The sequence below is a fragment of the Homo sapiens genome, chromosome 12, assembly GCF_000001405.40.
Source record: "Homo sapiens chromosome 12, GRCh38.p14 Primary Assembly".
NCBI classification, from domain to species: domain Eukaryota; kingdom Metazoa; phylum Chordata; class Mammalia; order Primates; family Hominidae; genus Homo; species Homo sapiens.
The window spans coordinates 91,854,051-91,881,311 of NC_000012.12; the positions used below are offsets into that span (position 1 = coordinate 91,854,051).

The following is a 27,261-nucleotide window of genomic DNA, read 5'->3' on the forward strand; positions in this document are numbered from 1 at the left end:
AAATGTTGCTTAAGCCACTTATGGTGTATCTATAGGTGACATGCCTATGTGTGTGATAAAGGTTTTATAGCATCCCCAGACCAGACTAAGATGATGTACTTTAAAATGCAATATTCAAAGTGATAAAAATATACAGAAGAATTGGGTTAGTGATAAAGCTGTCTAGTCGTTTACATTGCAGCACTTCTGGAAGAGCAAAGGAAAATTGCTTGCTATTTTCTCATAAGTTAGCTAAGAAATAAATATAAACTATTTTATTTTATCCAATTTACAATTAATATTAACAGTAAAAATAATAACACAAAATAAAACAAAATTCCACATAGTAAACTTTGTTGTTGACTAAAAATGGAGAGAAGCAAAACTTTTTAATAAAATATCTATCTGCAATATTAGATTTAGAATAGATATAATGTCATACAACAAAATTTCCAATTGCAGATGCTATAAATTTATTAATATAAATTTTAAAACTTGATTAGCAGTACATCACTTTCACTGAAAATTTTACATGGAAAATGATTCTGATGAGAATAATTTCAGCAAAATAAAAATAAACATTTAAAAAATTGGGTATGATTTAAGTATGCTAGATAGAAAGTTGGTAAAGGAATTAAACTGGCTTAATAAGAAAAAAAACTTCCCAGAACAAATTTCTTTTTTCCACGTACATTTTTCTCCATGTGCTCTGGAGACATTTCTGAATTTGTGTATGCTGACACATAATGAGCCCCTTTGTGTCTATTTCTGAGTAAGCTTTATTTAGTTGCCCTTCTGATAAACAGTGTAAGTTCAAAAGAATAAGCAGTCCATATTCCCCGGGCTTGGCATGAGGAGGCAGCAGATGATCTAATAGATTTCATTGCTTCTAATTTTTGTGACTAATATAGAGGTTCTGTTTTGAAAGCACCCAGATCTGGCTTCATTCTGGTTTAGATATTTGGAACAAAATGTACTCTTTCCCAAGAGTCACTTTCTCAGAACTATCCTAAGCATAATTTTTAAAGACATAAGTACATCAGGAATAGTTCAGAATGACCATGAAGCTTGCCAAAGACCTGAAGAAAATTGAAGTGGCTTAATTAAATTCAGACAGTGGGGCTAAGAGAAGTTCTTAAATAGTAAGATGAGGGATTCTTTCTATTCCCTGTCCTAAGATTTCCCTATGGAGGGACCACCTCTAGAGAAAGACTCAGGTCTCTTGCCCGTTCTCCTCCCTCAATCCTCTATAAAAGATTGGTAATTTGAAAGAAGGAACTGCTAATACTCTTAATTCTCTTCTCAGCCCCCTGTAACTCTATTTGGGAGCCAGTCTGCCTTCAAGGAAGATGCTATTGCTGCTTCCTATTGCTATAAAATGGACAGGGGTACACTCCCCTCCCCTGCCACTTTTTTCTATTTCAGAAACTCTATGATTTTTTTCTGCCTCTGCCTCGTGAACAGATGGATAAATCTGTTTCATCTCAGGGGGTATAGAACCATTAAGCCCATGTTTCTACATGCACAAGTCATGTTCCCAAACAGACAAAGGTCATATTTTGATGGTCATCCCGACTCCTACTTCTCAATGGTTCCAAACTGAGGCAGGGAGAAGTGGGAGATCAATTATTTACTGCTTACGTTCCAATATAAACCCCAATTTGCCTTCTTCTCCCTTTTCAGCTATTTCCTGTCATGGAAAATGAAGCCTGTGGCGTTTTGTTTATAGTTAGTGTGTGTGTGTGTGTTTGTGTCGTGTTTGTTTGTTTTTCTCCTTATTTTTAGGCAAAGGAAATAAAAGTAAGAATTTGGGATGCAGATAGCATTTTGGAGATCTTGTAGAATTTAAAAGCCATAAGGCTTATTTACATTTAGAAGACATACAATTCTAAGGAAAAAAAAAGAGAGATCCAAACAATGAAAAGAAGCTGAGGGAGGTAGGGCAGAGGGACATGTTTATCAGGAACAGGATCATTTTGTGTAGAAAGGACATTTGAAACAAATATGACGTGTTTTAACATGTAATCTGGGGGTGATGTAAAATATGCAACACTCTCGAATAAATTTCCTCTTGAAGTCTCAGAGTATACTCATTTTTTATGAAATTGATCTTAGATTTGGAAAATTGGTTCTGAATCTCATGAAACTCACCTTTTAAATAAAATTGGCATTGTCAGTAATATTATTACTTTGCAAACAGATTGGTAGTTTTTTTCTGTATTCCCAAATCCTATTGTATTTATTCAATAATGCAATGGAAAATACTCTATAAGAAAAGTATATGTACCTTTCTATTTATGCTCGTATTTACCATTAACATCAATAAGCACCAAAAACTGTTACTGCAATTAAATGTAGAAAAGAATTTTAAAAAACTTGACAAAAAACTCTCTGAAATATGAAAATGAAGAGTCCTTTTCTGGCTACACTGAATGGCCTCTGAGGAGGTTATAATGTCGGTGAAGTTTGTCTTTCAGGGTTCTCTTTCTGTGATTTCTCCTCCTTAGGCATTTTCTAATCTCCTGCTGCCCTTTTAGGCTTTGAACTTGGCCTATTTTGACTGAGGCAAGAGGAAGATAGCATCCCTACCTGTTTTTATTTTTTTTCCCAAACATTCAAGTCTATTTGGCTTACTTTCACGTATCTGTCAAGAAAGAGCTGAAATGCTCCCTTCTCTGAGTTAGAACATTTTCCTTCTCTGGAATGTCCTTCTTTCTGCTTTTACAATTGCCTGTGTATACATAAACAAGGAAGAATAGAAGAGATGTCTCAGCCCAAAAGATAAATCGCAGGTGTAGGAAAAGTCAGAGATGATAGGCCCTTGTCATAACCCCACAATCACTACAGACACAGTGCGCGCTCTGCCTTCCCGTGGGTTTAGCCTTGTTCTATTACTCCATTTCACGCTGGTGAAAACTGTGAGATAGGAGCCCTCGACATGAGTATTCCTCCCCATAAGAGGAGCATGGCTTCACAGAAAATTCACGAATTGTTTTAACCTGTATCTGATGCAAAGTTTCACTGGCATTACTAACAGGTGCACAACCAATTAACTGATTTGAATTTTATCATCATCATTGTCATTGTCAACAGACACTTAATGGGTATCCCTAGAGTGCTGCACATTGCACTAGATACCAAGAGTTCATCTTCTTTCCCCTGGAGGATATTTTAGTGAACAATGAAATAATGAACATCTAGACATGAAAGTGGAAAGACAAGAGAAATAAAAGGAATTAATAATTTGTCTTTAAGTAAAAGGTTGCCTGGACTTTTCCCATGCCTTCCTAATATCAATAATCACAAGTCATTTAAATACATTAAAAGATCTGTTTATACACACACTGAAGAGAGAGAGAGAGCAAGAGAGAGAATGATGATGATGGGTGACAGGCATTAACATCATGCAAATGTACATAAAGATCTATAGATCTGTACAAAGATATACATGGCACATCTATTCTTATAGATCTTTATTCAGACCTATACACAAAGACACAATGTAAAACAAATTTTATTAGCAGCTTTTAATACATTTAAGATAAGTAAATAATAGCTTTTATTTCACTCATGGAAATCAGTTGGGTGACATTAAAGTCTTTCCTAAAACGTCATTTGAAATTCCACATTTAAATGTGGGTTTTATGGTTATAGTTGTAGCAGTCTTGAGTAACATTCAGACAAGAGCAATCACCTTCACTCAGGAACTAAATGATGAAATTTCAAGGCTAAATACAAGTAACTAAGGAAACATGCCAGTCTAGGCCTAATTTAATTTATAGGCCCCAAAGAAGAATAGGATTAGTTAATCTAGTACAAATGAGTTCTCCAAAAAGTCTTTATCTTTAGCCCAGATAATGAGAAGTGAGTAAGCCCAGAACATGTAGAGATCTGAATCACTAGTCAATAAAAGAGTTTTCTGAAGCAGTATGTTAACACTGAACACATTTTAAACAAAATTAAACATTGATGCAGACTGCATTCCTGAGATGCAACCCAATGTTACCTGGGCGATGTACTGGATAACTAAAAGGAGCTTCATACCTAATGAGTGAAATATTTGTCTATCCATTTAAGTGACATACTGTTTTGTTTAAAGTGAGGTTGATTTAAGGACTCTTCAAAGTAAAAAGGGACATTTGTTGATAAAAGAGAATGACTGTCACACAACTTTGTGTAGACATTCTTGGGAGATCGCATTTATCACACATGATGTTCAAATGTACTGGAAGGCTGAGCCTTTCACCTCTACTGAGAAATAGGCATTTGGGAACTTAGTCTCTCTGGCTGCCATCCATTGCCTGCTCACGCTAACAAAGGCAGAACCAATCACATGAAAATACAGCAGAGTGCACCTAGCTGCCAGCCTACTAACAGGAGGTGCCTCTCTTTGAGTCATTGCTTCCAGCCTACTTTCCTTTAAAGTCTGATTCAGATTTGAAGTCCTCTGGTAACCAGCCCCCTTTCTGGATCAAGGTCTTCCCAATCTTTTCTTTCTGGTTTTATGGCTTCATGTTTCCCAGCTTATAGCTAAGACTCCTGGTTCTTACCGCCTACATTGTAATAAGGATTAAATGAGATTTTAAACATAGGAAGCCCTCAGCCAGTAATAGTTGATGCTGGTTGTGTTGCCTCTCCTCCAAAACTTAAGCTAAGCCTACTTTTCTAAACAAGGTGGACTTAGGGAAAGACCAAGATAGGAGAGACTGAAAGAGCTAACTGGCCTGTGACACAAACCTTAAAGACTTAGTCAGTGAAAAAAAAAAAAGGATGATTTATAGGCAAGTGGAGGTAGAGTCACTGCCAGAAACATCATGCAGAAGTAAATTAAAAGTTTATGGAAGCCATCTTCAAGAAAGGCAAGATCAGAGGTAGTAGGTACGGTCAGAACTGATGTAAGTTGTCTCACATTAATAATCTCTATCCCATATGTTCCTCTGTTATGTATTTATTAGGCACTGACTCCTAGTACAGGATTTTTTTTTTTTTTCTGAGACAGTTTCACTCTTGTTACCCAGGCTGGAGAGCAATGGCACTATCTCAGCTCACTGCAACCTCCATCTCCCAGGTTCAAGCAATTCTCCTGCCTCAGCCTCCCGAGCAGCTGGGATTACAGATGCCCGCCACCAGGCCTGGCTAATTTTTTGTATTTTTAGTAGAAACTAAAATCACCATGTTGGCCAGGCTGGTCTTGAACCCCTGACCTCAGGTGATCCACCTACCTCAGCCTCCCAATGTGCTGAGATTACAGGTGTGAGCCACCACACCCAGCCTAGTACAGGATTTGGCTTGAATTATCAGAACCTCTTATGCCCTATCATTGTATCAGTCAGCTTTTCCTGTGTAACAAATTACCCCAAAATGTAGTGATTTCAACTATTTATTTAGCTCCTGAATCTACTGATTAACAATTTGGTCTAGTCAGACCTAGGCTTGGCCGATTGTGCCTGGATTTGCTCAGACATCTGTGATCACCTGGCTACCTTGCTGAGCCTGGCTGGTTTATGATGACCATTTCTGAGACAGCTCAGATGACTGGGGCTTCTCTTGACATTACTTTTCATTCTCCATCAGCCTACCTTCAGTTTTTATCACATGGTGGTGGCAGAGTCCCAATGGCAGTAAGGGCAGATCAAGGCTCAGAACATCCACAGCACCTCTTCTAGCATATTTTACCGGCCAGCTCAAATTCAAGGGGAAAAAAATAAATTTTGCTTCTTTGTTAGAGGAGCTGCCAGGTCACATTGCAAAGAGGCATGGAGTCAGAGAAGGGCTGTATTTGGAGATATTTTTGCCATCTATTACAGCCAATAAATGGATCCAAATTAAAAGAAGTCAAAGGCAAATTTTTCATGCTAGAGAAAGCTATAGTGATGAGCACTAAAGAAAGGGAGCAACAAACACACATAGTGTCTTCACGGATAGATATCAGACATCCCATAACTATGACTATATCCTCAAATTTCATTCTACTAAAATAACATAGCATATATAAGAAAGTATTTATATCAACATACCTTAAAAACTCATTAGAGTCAACAGTGCCTAAATACTTCACAGCAGTTCATCTTTTCTGTAACTTAGGGTAGGATTGGAAAGAGTAAAGAATGATGAATTTTCCCATTGTTTGCATCTTTTGGTGGAGTTATGTTAGGGGAGAAAAGGGATAGCACACAGGAAAGCCTGGGTATAAACTTGAGTGACAGTGTAAACCGCAGTTGTCCTTTTCCAATGGAGAATTCAGAGTTGGCCAAGAAGAGCTAAGTAGAATGGTAAGAGAAGAAAAAGAGAAAATCAGAAAAAGGGAGGGAATGAGTAGCTGTCATTTGGCTTTGTATATTGTTACAGAAATAGTAAAATATTTTTCATGGACATCTACCCTTAAATACCAATAATTTATTGTGCATTTCAAAATAACTAAAGAAGTATAATTGGAATGTTTGTAATACAAAGAAATAGTAACTACTTGAGGTGAGAGATATTTCATTTACCCTCCTGTAATAATTATACATTGTATGCCTGTATCAAAATACCTCAGGTACCCCATAAATATATACACCTGTTATGTACCCATAAAGATTAAAAATAAAAATTAAATACCATTGCCCCCCTCAGTTTTACTCATTGCATAAACATATGTTAAACAAAGAATCAACGTCAAACATTGCATTCACTGTATGAAAGTCAAGAGGTGTGTTGGATCTTTTCTTATATTCAAGTAACTTTCCTCTACTAAAAGAGATGCACCCCAAAACAAATAACTGTAAAACAATAAGTGCCTGTACTAGAGTTCAGGGAGGCACAGCAGAAGGATCCAGAAAAGGAATTTACCATGAGAAGGGACATTGGCAGGAGTGGTTTCTAGAGATGGATGGGGGATAGATAACAAAAAGCATAAAAAGATATCCCAAGACACAAATGTTTGAATCTGCTCTTGAAGAGAAGTGGATTAAGAGGAAAACCTGCAGGGATGCTCAGAATTGGAGAGAAAAATCTTTCAGACAATAGGAACAGAATTAACAAATGTCTTGAGGCATAAGAGAACATTGTTTGTTTGGGAAACAATAATTAAGAGTGGCTAAATTATATAGAACATGAAGAAGTACAAGATTGACCTCTGAAAAACTATTCATTCTGTCCAAAAAAATACCCAAGAATATCCATAAGGTTTAGGTTTTCATCTTGGGTAAAAATAGAAATCATGTGACACTCTTCACCCTCACAAATACATAATATTGAATGACTAATATTTTCACCTCTGTTATCAATGGTTCATCAAAATCTGAAGTCCAGTTGGTAGATAAAACTCTGCCTTAGTCATATTACCTAAACAATTTAAGTTAGAAAACTTTAAATAAATCACGTGTGGGTGTGTGTGTCTGTGTGTGTGTAAATTCTCCCGAGAAAGCTGCCTTTCATTTTTACCAAATTCATTTCTCTACCTTCTAAGGGACTAACCACATTATAAACCCCAGGAGTACGCTATCTTTCCCACAAAAGAGGAAGGGGGAAAAAGATAAATTTCCAGGGATGGTTTTGCACACCAATGACAGGCATAGGTTTCTAAAGGACGGTTTCCAACCTGTTAATAGTTTTCAATACACAACAGCTGCAATCCATGAAAGAGATAAATATTCATGGCACAAAGCATTTATATGTATCAAATGTATATTCATGAACAAATGGCTTCCCCTGCCTTTAATAGTGTTTGTTGTGCAGTCAGTAAAGAATGGACCAAGGTTTCCCTGGCTGCAACTGCTGGGTCTCTACTGCTGCATCTCCTGAATGTCAGTTTTGCAGTGATTATAGACAAGACAATAGCCATGGGAAAAAAACACACAAAATGTGCCCAGAATCACTCCCCACTTGTTCCAGATATTGGATAGCAGAACCAAATATTAATGGCAGATTTTATATGGCTGCCAACTTATTTTTCAGGAAAAGCATTTTACATTCAAGCCTTGTGTAGCCATATGTGCACTATAATATCCATGGTTGACCTTCCTCTTTCAAATATGCTTTGTCACAGCACCAATGCCACCCCAAAGGGCTTTCCTAAGAATACTGGAACAGGAATTTGCATACATTGAATAGCACTTTCAGGTGATCATCAGCATCTGGTTGTCATGCCCTCAATCAGAGTGTTCTGTGCAGCCTGGAAGCAAAAGAATGATGGTGCAAACTATGCAAACCTTTGTTTTTCAGTAAGGTTTGGAAGATGGTATATGTTTCTGAAAATTGACGTATTGTTTAATAAAAGTGTTGTTTGCTCCATTAATTTCTCCAAGAGGGAAGCAAGAATACTATAGAAACAGTGAGGAAATATGCCTTTTGTTGAACAAGAAAAGAGTCATTAGAAGGTTTTAGGGTACTACACAAAGTCTGTTAAATATAAAAACTTAATAATAAAAGAATTTAACTTATAACTTGCATGCAAAGAAGCCCTTCAGTTTTGCAGACAGGATCTCTTACTCCTCTCTCTCAATTTTTTTTGGTCAGCTCCCAGCCTTCCTTTAGGTTCACAAAAAAAATAATTCTGACTCTATCAGAAATGTCAGACTTAGGCCAGGTGTGGTGGCTCACATCTATAATCCCAGCACTTTGGGAGGCCAAGGCAGGAGAATCCTTTGAGAACAGGAGGTCAAGAAATGTCAGACTTCCCCTTTCTTTCATCATTTGCTGTTGTTCCACTATAAGAGATGTGATTTTAAGACCATTATGATAAACTGAAAATATGATTTGAGGTCCTTCTCTCTACATGTTTTCATAAGGGTAACTAGTTATGTCTGAATTTGAGTTTGCAAAGTTAAGTTGCACCTGATGCCTCTCAGTAGACTATGCAATCTATTGCAAAATCTAAGTGTAAACTAGTATAAAATATGAAAAGATTTTAGCTCTTGGTGTTGTGAGACAGAGATTGCATATGATAACTTGTTGAGGAGGAAGCATGTTGTTGGATATGTCAAGGTTCCAGAAATATGGATTGTAGCTGTAATTGGCAAGGATGAAGTGATACAGCTCTCAAAATGAAATGATTTCAGTATCTAAACTATAGTTTCAGTATTTAAAACAACTACTAATTTTTCCTTGGATAGTATTTTGAAAATTAAACCTTTCATAAGAAAATGTTCCTTAAAGTTCCATAAATAAATAGAAGAGGTGCTCTAGAGTGTGGTGTAGACCAACAATTAATTCCTGTACACCTACAATTAATTCCCTAGATCCTTTCCACTTCTGATTCTAGAAATAGGGGCATCTTACTATCATCTTTGTACCCTGTCTCAATGAAATACTTAGTATATGCGTCAGAATCCTTTGTGTCAACTTTTTTACACTCTCCTCACTAACGAAGAGCAGTTCATGTTGCAGCTCAATAGCATATCTTCATTGCCGGTCACCTCATCAGAAGTAGAAAATTAATTTATCTATTTGAATTCTTTTTTCCATGCCTATCATGTTCTTGTACTGTGCTATTTAATATAAACACAGCCCCTTCTCGCAAGATGTTTTTAGTCTAACAGAGAAAATAAACGAAGTAACCACACAGTTAGAAAGCAATATGCATTCAGTAATGCTCCAGTACAGGAAGCAGAAGGCATTATGAGATTTAAAGAGTATCAGACACTTGCCCAACTTCTGACAATAAGAAATCAATAAAGCCTGGTGTTGAACGCAGGTTTATCAAGCTCTTAATATTCTACATGAAATATCGTTGTAGCTGTACCCAAGCTCCTATATAAAGAAGCAGCCTTTTGAGAACAGCCATAGGAGATTCTTCTCCTGCTCCTGTGTTGGATTAGTTAGAAGTATGTCACATGTCTGATCTTAGCCACAAAGGAGGCTGAAGCTGGGAAGTAGAAAACAAGTTTCTCACAACTCACTTGAGCGAGAGTTCCTTTAGCAAAGAACAGAGGCAGGAAGACTTGGGCTGCAAGTGGGGCTTCCTACTCTCATTAGGCTCCTGGCTCTCATTTGGTCCTATAGCCAGGCTCACAGCCCACTGCTTGAATCTAAGGGCTGGAATGAGGCTCATTCCACCCGTTTGGTTCACTGGCCTATGGGGAAACTGGTGCCCACTGGTTCTTGGGACTACACTTGATGGAAAGCTGTTATCTTGGACAGAGAAGGGCGGTGCCACCGTCCCAGCCTCACTCTGGCTTTATTGCTTTGGGTCTCCTACCCTAATATTTGCTGGAGTCTGCACTGGAGCCTTTGTCATTTATTCTACCACCCTCCTCACCTCTCCTGAGCTGGCGGTTAGATTCTCAATCAAATTTTAGTTTATTACCAACCGTGATATCATAGGGAAAGTGATAAACAAATCATGATATAAAAACTAATCACAAAATACCACAACCAATGTATCACAATTGTGGCCAGCTTCAGAACCATCTCCCAAAAGTTTTGATGTGGAGAATGACTTCTTCCCATCACCCAACATTTCCAGATTAAGAGGAGCGTCAGGAAAGAAACTAAAACCAAGATGGAAACTAGGGTAGGGAGAGAAATGGAACTAACTCTAAGCCAAATACTGTGCTGGGCACTTTCTAATACTTGACTTCATCTACATCTCAAAATAACCCTAGCAGAAAGGTATTATTAATTGAGCAAAAGAAGCAGCAAGGTTAAATATCATTCCTGAGATCTCATACCCAACAAGTGCCAAATCCAAGATTTAAGCTCAATTATATGCCCTTTCCACCACTGGAGCTTGCCCTGAAGACAGATGTGTCCTGGCACTCAACTGAAAGAGGAGATAAATACTGAAAATCAGGATTTTTTGTTTGTCTTTGTTTTTGTTTTTGAGACAGGGTCTCGCTCTGTCACCCAGGCTGGAGTGCAGTGGTGCGATCTTGGCTCACTGCAGCTTCGACCTCTCTGGCTCAGGTGACTCTCGCACCTTAGCCTTCCAAGTAGTTGGGACTACAGTGCACACCACCATGTCTGGCTAATTTTTTTTTTTTTCCGGTAGAGACGGAGTTTCACCACATTGCCCAGTCTGGTCTCAAACCCTTGGGCTCAAGTGATCCACTTTTGTCAGCCTCCCAAAGTGCTAGGATTACAGGCGTGAGCCACCATGCCCAGCCTGAAAAGCACTTTGGTGTAGTTTTCCTGCTCCAAGTACAGAACAAGGATGACCAAATATTTTAAAAGAAAGGTAAAAAGGCATAAAATCACACTAAAAATTACTCACATACCAGAAGGAGTTCAGTGCCTTCAAATTACCAGGCCTAAAAGTGTTCCAGGGGATCTGGAACCAAGTTCTCTCCAATCCCCTGAGAAAACTACTTCTCACTGCTCCTTGGGGCTACCACTTTAGGGGAAGCTGTTGTCTTGGTTGGGGAGCGGTGGTGGCCCAGACCCCAGCCTCCCACTGGCTCTGTAACTAGATTTGCAGCATCTTAAATATCACCCTAGTAAAAGGTACCTTTGTAAGTGCTGGTTGTAGTCTAAAAGTCCAGAAGGCCAAGGGAAGGATCAGCTAAAGCCTAGATGGGGAGAGTTAAGCATAGGGAAAAGGGGGAAAAAAAACCATCGTGAAATATGTGGTTAATTTCTGGGATCAGTTCACTACCTTGCTCTGTGACATCATGGGTTGGTACTAAACTGAAAATTGATGGAGAATCTGCATGCTAAAACATTCTGAGGCCTAAAAATCTGCCTCTATAAGTAAGCAAACAAACCAATAAATTTATTTTATACACACACACGCACACATACACAAACATGTGTATATATACATATATACACACATACACATATATATAGACAGACATAGGGAGAGAGAGAGACAGACAGAGACAGATAGAGAGAGAGGGAGAAAGAGAGTCAAAGAGCTTGTCCTGAAGAAATTCTAGAAAGAACTTGCAATTGGGAAAGTGTGAAGCTACTTAAGATCATTCATATTAGGATATTTGCCAGTTGGAGTTCTCAGCAAACATCTACAAGTATAGATGAATGTTACAGTTTTTTTATTGTTGGTCCAGGAAAAGGTGACTAATTTCAAAACTTTTAGGAATATTGCAGCTTCTATATTGATATCCTGAGCCAACATTTATTGTTCACATTCCGCTGACCACCAGTCAAACATCAGGCATTCTGTGCAAGGGGGACCTTGGTGTTTTTGTGCAGAGGGAGAAAAACTTCAATTTTCAGGGAAATTGAAAAATTTGTAAGTGCAAATCATCACATGGGTAGAAGTTAGCTGATCATAGTATATTTACACACCCATTTCAAATAAACAGTGGAATCACTCAGAGTTGCCATCTTGAGCTAAGGACTCCTTCCTGCTAAAAATTCTGCTCCACAGGAACTAGCCGTCTTAGGCAACCTAGACTCAAGTTTAGTCAAGTCCTCGCTGAAACTCACCAGTTTTATAAGGACTTTGGAATTGCTGTGGACAGAAAAATTTGCAATATGACTTCTGCCTCACTGAAGGAACTGACTCAGGAGATACGCAAAAACTGCCTTGAGTGGATTCAAGCTGACATTTGTTGCTCCTATACCACAGAACCCCAAAGCAAAAATGTCTATATGTTTTCCCCATGACTTAGAACTCCATGAAGGTATACAAAAACAAGCAAACAAAGCCAAAAACCGTGACAAAAATGTGTCTGATAGGTATTCATTAAGCACAAAGCTGCCGCTGTTCCCGATGTTGAGCAGGAAGTCATTTCAAGGCAGGGATAGACATGTCCCTTTGGAACAAAAGCTTTCCCGACAAAGGCTGGCACAGGTGTTCACCCACAATGGATATGACCATGACCTTTTCAAAACAGTGGCCACAAAGGCCTGAGGAAGCTGATGTCACCCTCCATATCCGATCATGCCACTCCCCATTTTGAAAAGGCCCATTTCTAGAAAGGTTCAGCAAGCAAGCAATTCTTCATGTAGATCCATGTTCTGGTTGGAAGTCCAACTGGGGCAAATGTAAGAGGTAAATTCTATCAGCTCTGTTGAGGAAGCTCATCTTCCTCCTGCCTGTTTTCCAAATGGGGGCCGTCTGTCCAGCCTCTGAGGCAGACAGGCAGGCAGCAGGTGGCAGAGAAGAAGAGGTGTTGATGCAAAATTAACAGTACATCAAAAACACTGTTTATTGTACACATGAAGGCTCTTGTATGCTCAAGGTGAAGCAAAAAATAAAATCAGTTAACTATTCTGTGTTATGACTCTTTAAGAAATACAGAAAAATTCCCACTTCATTCATCCATTATTTAGAATTCCCAAAATACACAAACCCAAGGGGACTACTATTTAGGACTCAACACTCCTTCCCTGGCCAGGGTATGTGCTCTCTTTATGTCTCATTTACGTTTCAGCATCAGCAAGCTCTATTTTCATTTATATAAGTGTGTACTTTACAGTAGGATGCTATGGCAGTCTCAAAGTTTACAATCGCCATTATTTTAAATAGCTTTATTTACCTTCAATGACTGCCATCAGGAAAGGAGCTACTTTTATCCTTTGTAAAACAGGAATCACTTTGAGGTAGATGTAGACAAATTATGCTCCAACATATAAATTACATGCATTTAATCCTTTTTGAAAGCCCAGGAAAGAAAAGTAGCTGATGCATAAGCACCAGGTCTTGTACTACTAGGGGCTCTTTTGCAATATTCCATTTATTCCTCCCTAAACTCTGTGATATTGATCACATTATTAGTCCCATTTCAACAATATTTAATAATCAAACACAAAACAAAGTAATCTTATTATCTAGTAAGCCTTCGATTTGAGGTTTTAACCCCCTTCTTGATTCTAGAACCACTGTTCCCTTCGTGTTACCAAATTGGAATTTTTTTTTTTTGCATTGTAACACCTATTTGTGCCTGGATATGGTGGCTCATGCTTGTAATCCCAGCACTTTGTGAGGCCAAGGCAGGAGGATCACTTGAGGCCAGATATTTGGGACCAGCTTGGGCAACATAATGAACCCTATCTCTACTAAAAACAAAAAACAAATTAGTCAGGCAAGGTGGTGCATGCCAGGAGGCTAACGCTGGAGGATCCCAAGAGTTCAGGAGTTAAAGGCTGCAGTGAGCTATAATCACACCACTGCACTCCAGCCTGGATGACAGAGTGAGACCCTGTCTTAAACAAATAAATAAATAAACAAAAAGACTCTCCCCCCAAAAAACACCTGTTTGCATTGATTTTTCTCTTACCCTCTCAGTATCTTTCATGAAACATGCGGTTACCTAGGCAGCAGAGGCAGTATTTCAAAAAGGCACGGAGAGAAAGGGGAGTTGAATAAGACGCAGGGCTCTGAAATTAAACAGCAACAACAATATATACTGAGCCAGGAAACCTTATAAACAGAAGAAGAAAGATAGCTGGGGAGAGGAGGAATGAAGAAGAAGGAAAATGGTTATGTTATGACCGCTGAGGGCTGGTTTCAATTTACTTTGAAATGAAGGTCAATGAGAACTAATACCATTCCTTTTCAGATTTCATGTAACTTCTCCACTAGTTGTGTTTTTTTTGTTAACCTCATCTTGTATTTTCTATAAGGGGGAAAAAAACCATCTTTTCGAAGATTAAAGAATTTTTCTGTGGCACCGCAGAGCTGAGGAGCGATTGGACACTGAATGAGGGGTATAGTGAATCTGGCTCCGAGAGAAGCCCTCTAAATGGAATAGCAGGTAGCAGCAATGGAAAAGGCCAAACTAATGATCCCTGAGACTTTCAATAAAAAGAGAATTGCTCAATTTCTCCTTCACTAATATAATAATACTTGACGTTTGTGGGTATTTTCCATGTTTGCAAAACTGTTTTAAGCATATCGTATCTGCTAATAAAATCCCCACAGAATCCTACAGGATATGTACTATGACTATCCCATTTTACAGAGAGAGAAATTGAGGCCCAGAGAAGTAACTTGCCTATGGTTATATGAGCCATCTTTTTCCCATTTTTTCCCTCTCTTGTTTGCTTTACTTCTTAAACCATTTCTTAAGGCAGAGATCTGAGTTTACTTATCTTCCACTTAACTCTTTAATCCAGTAAAATTTAACGTACAGGAATGAAGAAAAGTTAGTTAATGGGTAAAAAAAATACAGTTTGATAGAAAGAATAAGTTCTAGTATTTAATAGTACAGCTATTATAGTTAACAATAATTTATTGTAGATTTCAAAATAGAAGAGTTGCAATGTTCCCAACACACACACACAAAAAAGATAATAAATGTTTGAGGTGGTGGATATCCCAATTACTCTACTTTGATCATTACACATTGTACACAGGTATCAAAATAGCACATGTACCCCCAAACATGCATATATAAATACGATTATTTATATAATAACTAATATATGATAGTTATATATATTTTGAGGTAGATGAGATATTGACTTTTTGACTTTTTAAACGTAATCCTATAGGATAAAATATAGGGAAGGAAGTCAAATTAAAAAATATATATCTAGCAGGGTACCTCACACACACACACACACACACACACACACATATACACACACATATATATGTATATATAGATATCCTGTGTGTGTGTGTATATATATACACATATGGGGTGTATATATATATATACACATATATATACACACACACACACACACATATATATATACGCACCCCATATATATATACATGTATGAGGTATCCTGCTAGATGTATATATATATTTTTTACATATCTGAAACACATTTACATTGTTTTATTTTGGAATAGCACAATTGAGACATAATTCACATACAACACAGTTCACACATTTAAAGTATTCAATTCAATGGTTTTTAGTATATTTACAGAGTTGTATAAAACATCACAATAGTCAATTTAGAATATTTGGGGTGACTGTCATCACCCCAAAAAGAAATTTCATATCCTTTAACATTACTCTCCTTTTCTCCCCAGTATCAGGCAAACACTAATCTACTTTCTGTTTCTATAGATTTGGCTCTTCTGGACATTTCTTATAAATGCAATAATACATGGTCTTTTGTGATAGCTTCTTTCACTTAGTAAAAAGTTTTGAGATTCATCCATGTTGTAGCAAGTATCAATACTTCCTTTTTATTGCCAGATACTATTCCATTGTGTGGATACATGACATTGTATTTATTCATTCATAAATTGATGGATAGCTGGGAATTTACCCCTTTTTTGCTATTATGAATAATGGCACCATATGCATTTATGTCCAAGTTTTCATGTGGACATATATTTTCATTCCTCTTAGGTATACACCTAGGGGTAGAATTGCTGGGTTAAATGTTAACTCTACGTTAACTCAAATGTTAACCTTAGGAAGAATTTGTAGATAGTTTTGCGAAGTGGTTGCACCATTTTACATTCCCATCAGCAATATAAGGAATAGACTTTCTCTGCATCTTAACCAACACTTGTTATTATCTGTCTTTTTAATTTTAGTCAATCTAATAAATGTGAAATAGTATCTCATTGCGGTTTTGATTTACATTTCCCTAATGGCTAATGACATTGCACACATTTTTTTATTGTATTTATTTATTTATTTGAGACAGAGTTTCACTTTTGTTGCCCAGGCTGGAGTGCAATGGCACAATCTCAGCTCACTGCAATCTCTGCCTCCCAGGTTCAAGCAATTCTCCTGCCTCAGCCTCCCAGGTATCTGGGATTACAGGCATGCGCCACCACGCCTGGCTAATTTTGTATTTTCAGTAGAGACAGGGTCACTCCATGTTGGTCAGGCTGGTGTCGAACTCCCGACCTCAAGTGATCTGCCCGCCTGGGTCTCCCAAAGTGCTGGGAGTGCAGGCGTGAGCCACTGTGCCCAGCCTGGACACATTTTTATGTGCTTATTGGCCATTTGTATATCTTTTTTGGGGGGTGGAAATTACTTTTATTACGTTAAAATATTCCTTAATGAGCTAGCAATTATTTGTGTGGAGGATGATCCAGAAAACAGGTTCATGACTAAATTATCCTTGTCCATGATTACAGAAATTCATGAATTACACACATCACACTATCCTCTGGAGTAGCTGCTGAAGGTCTGCGAGCCTGTGAGCTTGGAGGCGCTTCTCCCTGCCTGTTAGGCTGTTCCCATCAGATCACGACAAGATGGATGTTATTTTTCTCTTTGGAATTAAATCTTGACAAGAGTTCGAATGCTCTTTCCGGAATGCATGAGTTCAAAGGCTTTGTTAATTTCATCAAAAGACAGATTGTGAGTCATAAATTCATCAGCTTTTATCTGACTTCCTTCCCTCTACCTCTCCAAACATATATATGCAAACACACCTTTCAGAAACACCAACACTTAACTTCCAGTGACCTACTTTTATTCCTCATTCTACTTCACTTCTCTGAAGTGTTTCATTATGTTGACAATCCCCTTCTCTTTGAATACACAGACATTACCTACTTCTAATTTTGCTTCTATTTTGCTAGCCACTTGCCTTCAATCTCTTTATTTCAGCCACTTGTTACATTTCTGGACAGCTCAAGGCTCTGTCCTTCATTTTCTTCTCTTCTGGTTCTGGCTCTAAAAAGTGAGACTCAGTGCAATATAGGAGTCATAGGCAGGAGGAGATCAATAACCAGGGAGATTTTTAAAACTATTGATGGCCCCTTTCCGGGACCCTGGCTTGTTCTGCTATACCCCCGCACTTTATTGGGGATAGAGGCAGGGAGAAGCACATTACCCTCGCCCCTCCTTAATGCTTAGTGAATTTAGCCAAAACTATTTGAGGAAGAAAGACTTGTTCTCCCATTCACACACCCCCAACCCACCCCAACAAAGGCTTCTGCCTCCCTCACTCCCACTTCCAAAATGGACACTACTTCTAAGAATCACATTTGCCTGCCTTTGCCTGACATTTTAAAAACTCTTTTAAAGGGCCTGTATTACAAATCATGAAAAGAGGGAACTGGAGGATGGGGAAGAGAAAAAACAGAAGTGGATGGCATAGGCAGTGTGTGTTTCTGTGAAGCAACATTGGGGAAAAGATACAAAGGAAGCTGTAGCCTTGGAATCTATGTCAGTTCATCGTAGGGGAAACAGGCTGAACTGAGTAGCCAAGTCCAAGCAGTCAAGGGCATTCAGATTGCTGTGGCAAGAAGTCATCAAGGGTAGAGACAGGCTTGGTTATGCTATATCTTGAGGTGAGTAAGGAGTGCTTAGGATTGTGACCTCTCTGAGTACAAGAGGTTCTCCCCTTTAATTCCCTCCATCTGAAAATAACAATAAGTAATCTACCTGCCTATTTGTGTGTCAATAAGTATAATTCATGAAAGTCTTCAATGAGTAGTAAAACTACTATTTGTTGGGCCACATACTTTCCTAAGAAATTTATGCGTATTTTCTTGCTTAACCTTTACCACACAATCCATGTAGCAGATACTAGAATTATATATAAGCCAGGCATGATGGCTCATGCCTGTAATCCCAGGACTTTGGGAGGCCAAGGGGGGGGCAGATCACTTGAGGTCAAGAGTTCGAGACCAGCCTGGCAGAGAGAGGCTGAGGCAGGAGAATAACTTGAACCCAGGGGGCAGAGGTTGCAGTGAGCTGAGATCGCACCACTGCACTCCAGCCTGGGCAGCAAGAGCGAGACTCTGTCTCAAAAAAAAAATTTTTTTTTAAAGAATTATATATACTTATAAATATATGTTCTATTTATATATGCACTAAAATATATATAGTATTTATATATTCTAGTACAATGGACTTGTACCAGTCTATGGACTGTTAGGAACCCGGCTGCACAGCAGGAGGTGAGTGACTGGCAAGTCAACATTACCACATGAGCTTGGCCTCCTGTCAGATCAGCAGGGGCATTAGACTCTCAAAGGAGCATGAATCCTACTGTGAAGTGCACATGCAAGGGATCTATATTGCACTCAATATGAGAATCTAATGCCTGATGATCGGAGGTGGAACAGTTTCATTCCAAAACCATGCTTCCCTCTGCCCCATCCATGGAAAAATTGTCTTCCAGGTAAATCAATCCCTGGTGCCAGAAAGGTTGGGGATTGCTGTTCGTGTGTGTGTGTGTGTGTGTGTGTGTGTGTGTGTGTGCAAAATTTGGGTAGCTGGGTAGCTGCTATATGGATATATATTTTAGAAAGAAGTCAAGAATCTTGATGGGTAAGAAGCAAAGCAGGGATTTGAACCAGGGTTGGTCTAATACGAAAACTGAGGCTCTTCAGCAGTATTATTCCACATCTAAATGTAATTATTCAATGCCATCAGTCATAATGGAAATATAAATTAAAACCACAATGTGACACTAATATACACCCATCAGAATGGCTGCAATTAAAACTAGCAACAACAAGTGTTGGTGAGGATGCAGAGCAACTGTAACTCTCATACATTGCTGATGGGAGTGTAAAATGTTACAAACACTTTGAAAGAAATTTTTACAGTTCCTAATAAATTTAGATATAGTATGTATGCCCTTTAATTCAGCAAACTCCTATATATTTACTTAAGGAAAATAAAAATAGATGTCCACAGAAAGACATCTATAAGAATGGAAATAGTAGCTTTGTTTGTAATAGCCCAAAACTGGAAACAGCCCAGGTATGAAAATAATGGAAAAACAGTGACATATTCTTTTAATGGACTACTACTTGACAATACAAAGGAATAAACTGTGAATACACTCAATGGCATAAATGCTTGTCCCAGACATTATGCTGTGAAAAAAAGCCAGACACAAAAGAATGCATGCTGTATGACTCCATTTATATAAAGTTCTAAGAGTGGCAAAAAACAAAAACCAGAAAACAAAAACAGTGGCTGCCTCTTAGCAGAGTGGGAGGGGTTGACTTGGAAGAGATATGGGAAAACTTTCTGAGTAATAAAAGTAATAAAAAATACTTTTTATCTTGATAGGTGTGTGGGTTACATGAGTGTATGCATTGGTCAAAATTGTACAGTAATTGAATATATATAAATCTTGCCTCAAAAACAACTAAAGAAACAAATATTAATAAAATAGGAGAAAATGGGAAAAGAGGAAAGGTGAAACAAACATGACATTGATAGTTGATAACTACCAAAACCAAGGTCAGGACATGGGGAAATATATCATTCTGTTTATTTTGATATGTTCAAAATTTTCCATCATAAAAACTAAGTATTATCAAATTCTTAGTCATGTGTTGTATTAGGGTAATTAAAATACAAATTAGTAGTGAGTTTGAGGCCAGATTGCTCATCATCCTGGCCCAGTGCAAAAAGCAAATCTGATCATGTTCCCTCCCTTCTTAACAATGTTAACAAACTTTCCATTCTTCACCCTGAAGAATAGTGTGAATTCCTCAGAGTGGCTTTGGTATGAAGAAACTTCATACCATAGATATATGTGCAAAGCAGTGTGCAGAATTCTGTTAGTTATATTATTTATTTAGACTGAGACCATCTCTATGAAGGTTTTATAGATAAAAGTGTATATCAATGAAGGGACTCAAAACTAGATGGATAGTGACAGGGCCTACAGAAAGTTCAAATTTTGGATTCCTTCAGCTTTTTCCTACTTCGATTGTGATAGAAAGAGCTCTAAGATTCTGACTCCTGGAGTCCCCAACCTGTTATAATGTCCTCCCCTTGAATGTGGGCAGAGTAAGTGAATATGGTGGGATATCACTGACTACTAATCATGTGACTTTGAGTTCATCAAAAGGGGGGATGATCCTGGGTGGGCATGACCTAATCAGATGAGTGCTTTAAGGGAAGCGGAAATGGGATAGGGAAGCTCTTCTGTTGGCCTCAGAATGAAGCAAACTGGCATGTTCTGACAGGGCCTATGGAGGGGCTGTGTGGGTGACTTCTAGGACTTAGAGGGGTCTCCAGTTAACAGCTAGTTAGAAATAATTTTCCCAATTGCACAGCTTCAGATAACTGAATTCTGCCAATCACCATGTGAGCTTGAAAGAGGTCCCTGAGCCTCAAACGAGATTATAACCCCAGCCAACTCCATGATTTCAGCCCAATGAGACTATGAACAGAGGACCCAGTTAACCCATACCCAGACCCATAAAAGTCTTCAGATAATACCTACGTGTTTGTGATGATTAATACTGAGTGTCAACTAGATTGGACTGAAGGATGCAAAGTATTGATCCTGGGTGTGTCTATCAGGGTGTTGCCAAAGGAGATTAACATTTGAGTCAGTGGGCTGAGAAAGGCAGACCCGCCCTTAATCTGAGTGGACACCATCTAATCAGCCACCAGCCCAGCTGGAATATAAAGCAGGCAGAAAAACGTGAAAAGACTGGCCTAGCCTCCCAGCCTACATCTTTCTCCCATGCTGGATGCTTCCTGCCCTCAAACACTGGACTCCAGGTTCTTGTTTTGGGACTTGGACTGGCTCTCCTTGCTCCTCAGCTTACAGATGCCTATTGTAGGACCTTGTGATAGTGTGAGTTAATACTTAATAAACTCCCCTTTATCTATCTATCTCTCTCTCTCTCTCTCGTTAGTTCTGTCCCTCTAGAAAACCCTAACTAATACAGTGTTGTTTTGAGCTACCAAGTTTGTGATCACTCATTATGCAGCAGTCAAAAATGAATATGCCCCTTCTCTCCCTATTTCTCTCAATGTTCCAGTCACTCTGAACTTTTCTTAGTTTCCTAATTAAAACATTCCTTCCATAAATTTTGTTCTGCAAGAACTACTCACTTTGCCTGTAATGTCCTTATTATCTTTTCTGCCATTTGATTATTTTTTAACTTTTATTTTAGGTTCAGGAGTACATGTGCAGGTTTGTTATATAGGTAAACTTGTGTCACAGGAGTTTGTTTTGCAGATTATTTTCTCACCCAGATACTAAGCCTAGTATGCAATAGTTATTTTCTCTGCTCTTCTCCCACCTCTCACCCTCAACCCGCAAGTAGGCCTCAGTGTCTGTTGTTTCCTTCTTTGTACGTCCATGAGTTCTCATCATTTAGCTCCTACTTATAAGTGAAACATATGGTATTTGATTTTCTGTTCCTGCATTAGTTTGCTAAGGATAATGGCCTCCAGCTCCATTCATGTTCCTGCAAAAGACATGATCTCATTCGTTTTTATGGCTGCATAGTATTCAATGGTGTATATGTATCACATTTTCTTTATCCAATCTGTCACTGATGGGCATTTAGGCTGATCCCATGCCTTTGCTATTGTCAATAGTGCTGCAATGAACATTCACGTGCATGGGTCTTCAAGGCAGAATGATTTATATTCCTCTGGATATATAGCCAGTAATGGGATTACTGGGTCAAATGGTAGTTCTGTTTTTAGCTCTTTGAGGAATCACCATGCTAATTTTTTCAATGGTTGAAGTAATTTACACTCCCATTAACTGCCTGTTGAGTATTACCCATCCTTCAGAACCCAGATCAACTCTTCCTCTCCTGGAAGACTTGACCAATTGCCCCAGGCAAAGTTTATTCCTCCCTGCTCTAGATTTCCACCATACCCTGTTCTTTCTCTCCCTTCCTTCCTCTCTCTATTTCTCTTAATAGCATATAAATGAGTTGAAAGCAGAAACTCATAATATTCATGCTCAAGTCACTTTGAACTAGGATATAATTATGCTTACAACATAGTAGCCACTCAGTAAATAGCTACTGGGTTAATACACATACTGTTTTTCATTAGAATGCTTCTGGAATTTATTTAAGTTAACAAATATTTATTTTTCAGAGCCTCTGAAAGCTGTAATGGACAATAAGAAGATGAGTAGGGCATGTTTCCTATCTCAAATAAGTGGAATAGGATTTGCACAGAAAAAATAACTGCAAGGCAAAATACGACCTGTGTCACATAAGAAACAGAATCTGGTCTGTTGGGGGCTTCTCAGAGACAAAGAGATGATGGTCCACAGGATGGAGCATCTCTCTGACACTTCCAGTGTGTATTTTAGGGAGGAACACCTTTCCATCATTATTGGGGAGGTTGGAACAAAGAAGGGGAAAAACAATGGCAGTTCTTATCTTTCAGGTAGCTGTATGGTGAGCATTCCTCTCCCAGCAATCTGTTGTTCTTTGTGAGCAGACTGGAGTGTGACAGCTGTGAAAACGATCAAAGGCAGGTCCCAGACAGGAGAGGGCTGATGACAATGCCAGTTTCCCTCTAAGACCCTGTGGACAGCAGGGCCATGAGGGATGCTGTGACACAGAGTCTTGCTTGATGCAGTGTGTGGTGTTACTCACAGGAGTGGGTTCAGCCACTCTTGGTGTGAAACCCAAGGAAAATGTCTCTGCCGCAGCTGATGTCAACATGTACAGCATGTGACCAGCTTGCATTGTAAGTCAGACACCCACATCCTGTTGCTTTACCCTCTCACCAGTTCTCCCTTTAAGTGATTTATCAAAGAGGATATGCCTTATTTTTTTCATATAGACGTCTGTTATTTTTCAGCAGAAAGGAGATGTGTGTATGAGTTCTGCAGAAGTCCACCAAATGTGGGCCAGGGTTATTTCCCTGGTGATGCTCTGAAGCTTTTGCCAAAGGACAAATGGTAATTTGACACATTTAATCATTTGTGTGTTAATTCAACATCACTTAAACACTTCCTTCTTTAAAGAAATCTCATCCATTTAGTTTGCACCATTCAAATAAACTTGCAGAAAATTACGTAGAGTGTTTGCGGTATTAAAGTCCACTTATACTTTAAGCCAATTAGACATTTCGATCTGGCTGTTTCTCTGAGCTTACAAAATGCTGTGGATATAAAGGTGTGGTTATGTTTGATTTGGTTTTATGTTTTTGAACTTTGCCCATTTAATTAACCAGGCTAAAATAATAATCAGATTATTAGATCAATGTAAGTGCTTATAGGAGTTCTTTATTTTGCATTGGATATTTTTAGCTCTGCATGGGAGGAGAGGAAAGAAAAAGAAATCAAGATTTACTGAAAATAAACTAAGATGTTGGAGAAACTTACTCTACTTTTTTCTAGTTCGGAATATCCCTTCAATTCACATAGCTCTGAATCGTTTATGGAATAAATTTGATAGCACCCTAGTTACCTGGGGTAAGAATCACAGAGAAACCCCTCCCTTAGCAGCCACCTCACTGTGGGACTTTCCAACACTTTGCCCAGTCCCTAATGTACTCATTGTAATGATGATGACACATGTCTTGACAATATGTCTCCATGCTCAGAAGTAGAACATCTCCCATGTTTCTGATTGTATTTCAAGCTTTACTAGAGCTGTCTGCCCACCACAGTCTGATGTCTTTAAACTTGGCCTAATTTTTTTCAAACTTTAGTTTGGCCAGTCATACCAATTTTCCAGGGTAAAGAGATAATATTGCCTTCTAGAGTTGGAGGTAGATATTAGAGACCATGTTATCTTCCACTATCAATTTCCAACATGATGGTCTCCATTAAAGTTAGTAGATGCTTACAAGGCTACCACTGGTTTTCACATTAAATGTGATGTGAAACATAGTTTGTAAAAATACGCTCATGACTTCTAAGTTATCAAGGAGCTCTTACAAAGGGTTCTACTTTTCACCTCTTTACATTAACTGGTTTTATTTTTTCTTAATTGGCTTCTGCAATGAACCATGGGTTGGCCAAACTGAATTCCAAAAGTCTGAAAGGTCATTTATGATGGAAAACAGGATAAATAAAAGAGATATTATAAAAAACAGATAATCCTTAACTTTTGCAAGTTAATCTCTAAAAAAACTGCTGACACATTCTCATCCACTACATATTAAAATTTCTTTTGGAAGTATGTATATAAACTGATGAATGAAGAGACATTATTTTTTCTCCAGTGGGAGTACTTGTTTGTTTGCCAAGAGTTCAGGTTTAGAAACAGTCTTATTTTTGCTTGTAAAGCTGAGTTTGTTTTATTGCATTCTGTCCCTATTAATTTATTAAATTAATGAAAATGAACAAATAAAAGTAATAATATGAGTTGTAAACCTTGTAAATTTAATATGATTGAAATAAATAAAATCATTATAATAAAATGTTATAGGATAGTTATTGTACTAGGTCAGGTCAACCATTCAACTATTAAAGAAAATTAAAGAAAAGCATAAAATCATAGAGGTAGATCACCAAAGATTATTCTAATAGCAGAGAATTAATTAGGAATGTTATAAATTTATTTTAGTCTGTGAAAATGGAATGTCCTTTATGTGATTTTTATACTTTAGATTGTTGTGCATATATTCAGGTGCATATAATGTAAAAAGAGGGTATTAACTGTGGGCATTTAGAAGATGAACTTTGAAATCAGATGGAACTGGGTTGAAATCCCAGCTCCTCTATTACCTAATGCAAGTTACTAATTATTTTGGGATGTCAGTTTTTTCATTTTAAAACTTAAGTTCAACAAATTTGTTTTCTTAGAGTTGCTTATGAGGGCAAAAGATAACATATTTTCTGGATATGGAAAGGACTTATCAAGGTATCCAGCATGTAATAGGCTTTCATGAAATGCTAATTTTATATAAGAAGCTATATATCATTTATTTACTAACCGTGGGCTGATTTCTAAATATATTCTTAAGATAAACTGAAATGTATTTACTAAATACTAAATAATGTGTTTCATCTTATGCTGGTAAACCAGGAAACAGGAAGTACAATCATGCACTGGGGTAAAGAAGATTCATCTGCTCTTAGCTACCTACCATGCCAACACTCCTGAGAAAGCTCACAGAGGCCCATGATGCCCACCTGGATCTGAGGACCTAGAAAGCCACAACAGGCAACCATAATCTGGGTCTTCCCTCAGCCAACTCCCCTGCATAAAGTGAATGAATGAAAAACCCATCTTATATTAATCAGAGTTCTCTAGAGAAAAAGAACCAATCAGATGTGTATATATAGAAAGAGAGAATTATTTTAGGGAATTAGCTCACATCATTATGCAGGCTGGTCAATCAAAAATCTGTGGAGTGGGCTAGCAGGCTGGAGACCCAGGGAAAGGCTAAATTGCAGTTTAGATCAGAAGGTCATCTACTGGCAGAATTCCCTCATCTTCCAGGAAGGTGGATCTTTTTCTACCAAGGCCTTCAGTTTATTAGATTAGGCCCATGAACATGCTGGAGGGTAATCTGCTTTACTCAATACATACTGATTTGAATGTTAGTATCATCAAAAAGACCTTCACAGAAACATCTAAAATAATGTTTGACCAAATGTCTGCATACCATGGCCAAGCCAAGTTTACACATAAAATTAATTATCACACATCCCACGAACACCATCCCCAACAGATGCTCATGAGCATTGTGGTTATGATTTCAACTTCAGAATAAGGCAGAAATGTGTACAAATCCTGACCCTTTGACTTATCAGCTCTCTAAAAATCATTATATGTCAACTTTCTAGACTTTACCTGAAAAACAGAAACCAAGATACCCACAGCATAAGATTGTTAGGATTGAAGAAATTGTTACGATTGTTAGGTATGAAGAAATTTAAACAATGATGCAGCTGAGATATTTAGAATTGTACCTGGCATGTACTTTGTATTAAATAACTAATAAGGCCTTTTTCTGGTGAAAACAAAATAAGCCTGGATAAAAGAAGATGAGACCAGATTGGTTGATGGCTCGGCCTGGGTGGGCTCCTGGCCCATCTGAAATTACATTACTCTTATGTAGTGCCTTTTTTGTTATTGCTAAAATAAAATAAATAAAACACTCTACTTTCATACTTTGTAAAATGCACTTCTCATTCAGTTCCTCTTCCTGTGCCTTTTCCCTATTGTCTATCTGCACACAGCTGTTTTCTTCTGCACATTTTCATCACAGAGAATTACCAGGTGTAGGTCAAAAGATGCCACAGAGATAACAAAGGAAAGGAAAAGCTTTTCTGCACTTCTATCCTTGTAAGCACAAAAATTAATCACACTTTCAGTAAACAGGTCAGGTAAGTCAGTCCTGCACTTGAACCTTTTCTCCCCAAATAAATAGTTGAAATGGGAATGTCGATTTCTGTATTTGAACAGAAATGTATTAGTGTAGCTTTCAAAAGAAGACTACTCTCTCCATATGAATATCATCAGACCCACAAATACACATATGCATACATTCACAGTTCATCCTAACGCTGCAGAATATTCTAAGAGTAACACATTTCTGTACAAATCAAGCAGCAGCTTTCACTTGCATGCTAATCTTCAAATTAATTCTGCAATGATCCATTCATTCCACATCCCAACCTACATCCTCAGAAAAACAAAGATGTAAGTAAGGAACTCAGTATAACATGTTTGACTTTAGACACTACTCAAATATACTCAAACTTTATATGAATATGGATATTGCTCCTAGATTAGGCAGTTCAGAAAACAAATCTTGATTATTC

The 27,261-nt window shown here is 38.1% G+C and overlaps 1 long non-coding RNA gene across 2 annotated transcripts; it reads left to right on the forward strand.

Annotated features, from left to right (window-relative positions):
* The first annotated feature begins 21,252 nt into the window (after positions 1-21,252).
* Positions 21,253-26,617, forward strand: LINC02404 (long intergenic non-protein coding RNA 2404). Of its 2 annotated transcripts, none has more exons than XR_945201.2 (3): positions 21,253-21,354; positions 23,343-23,439; positions 25,517-26,617. It is a non-coding gene; the product is annotated as a long intergenic non-protein coding RNA 2404 (long non-coding RNA). The 2 variants fall into 2 exon arrangements; XR_945199.3 differs by lacking the exon at positions 21,253-21,354 and adding an exon at positions 23,078-23,225 and having other exon boundaries at positions 23,340-23,439.
* The last annotated feature ends 644 nt before the right edge of the window (positions 26,618-27,261 follow it).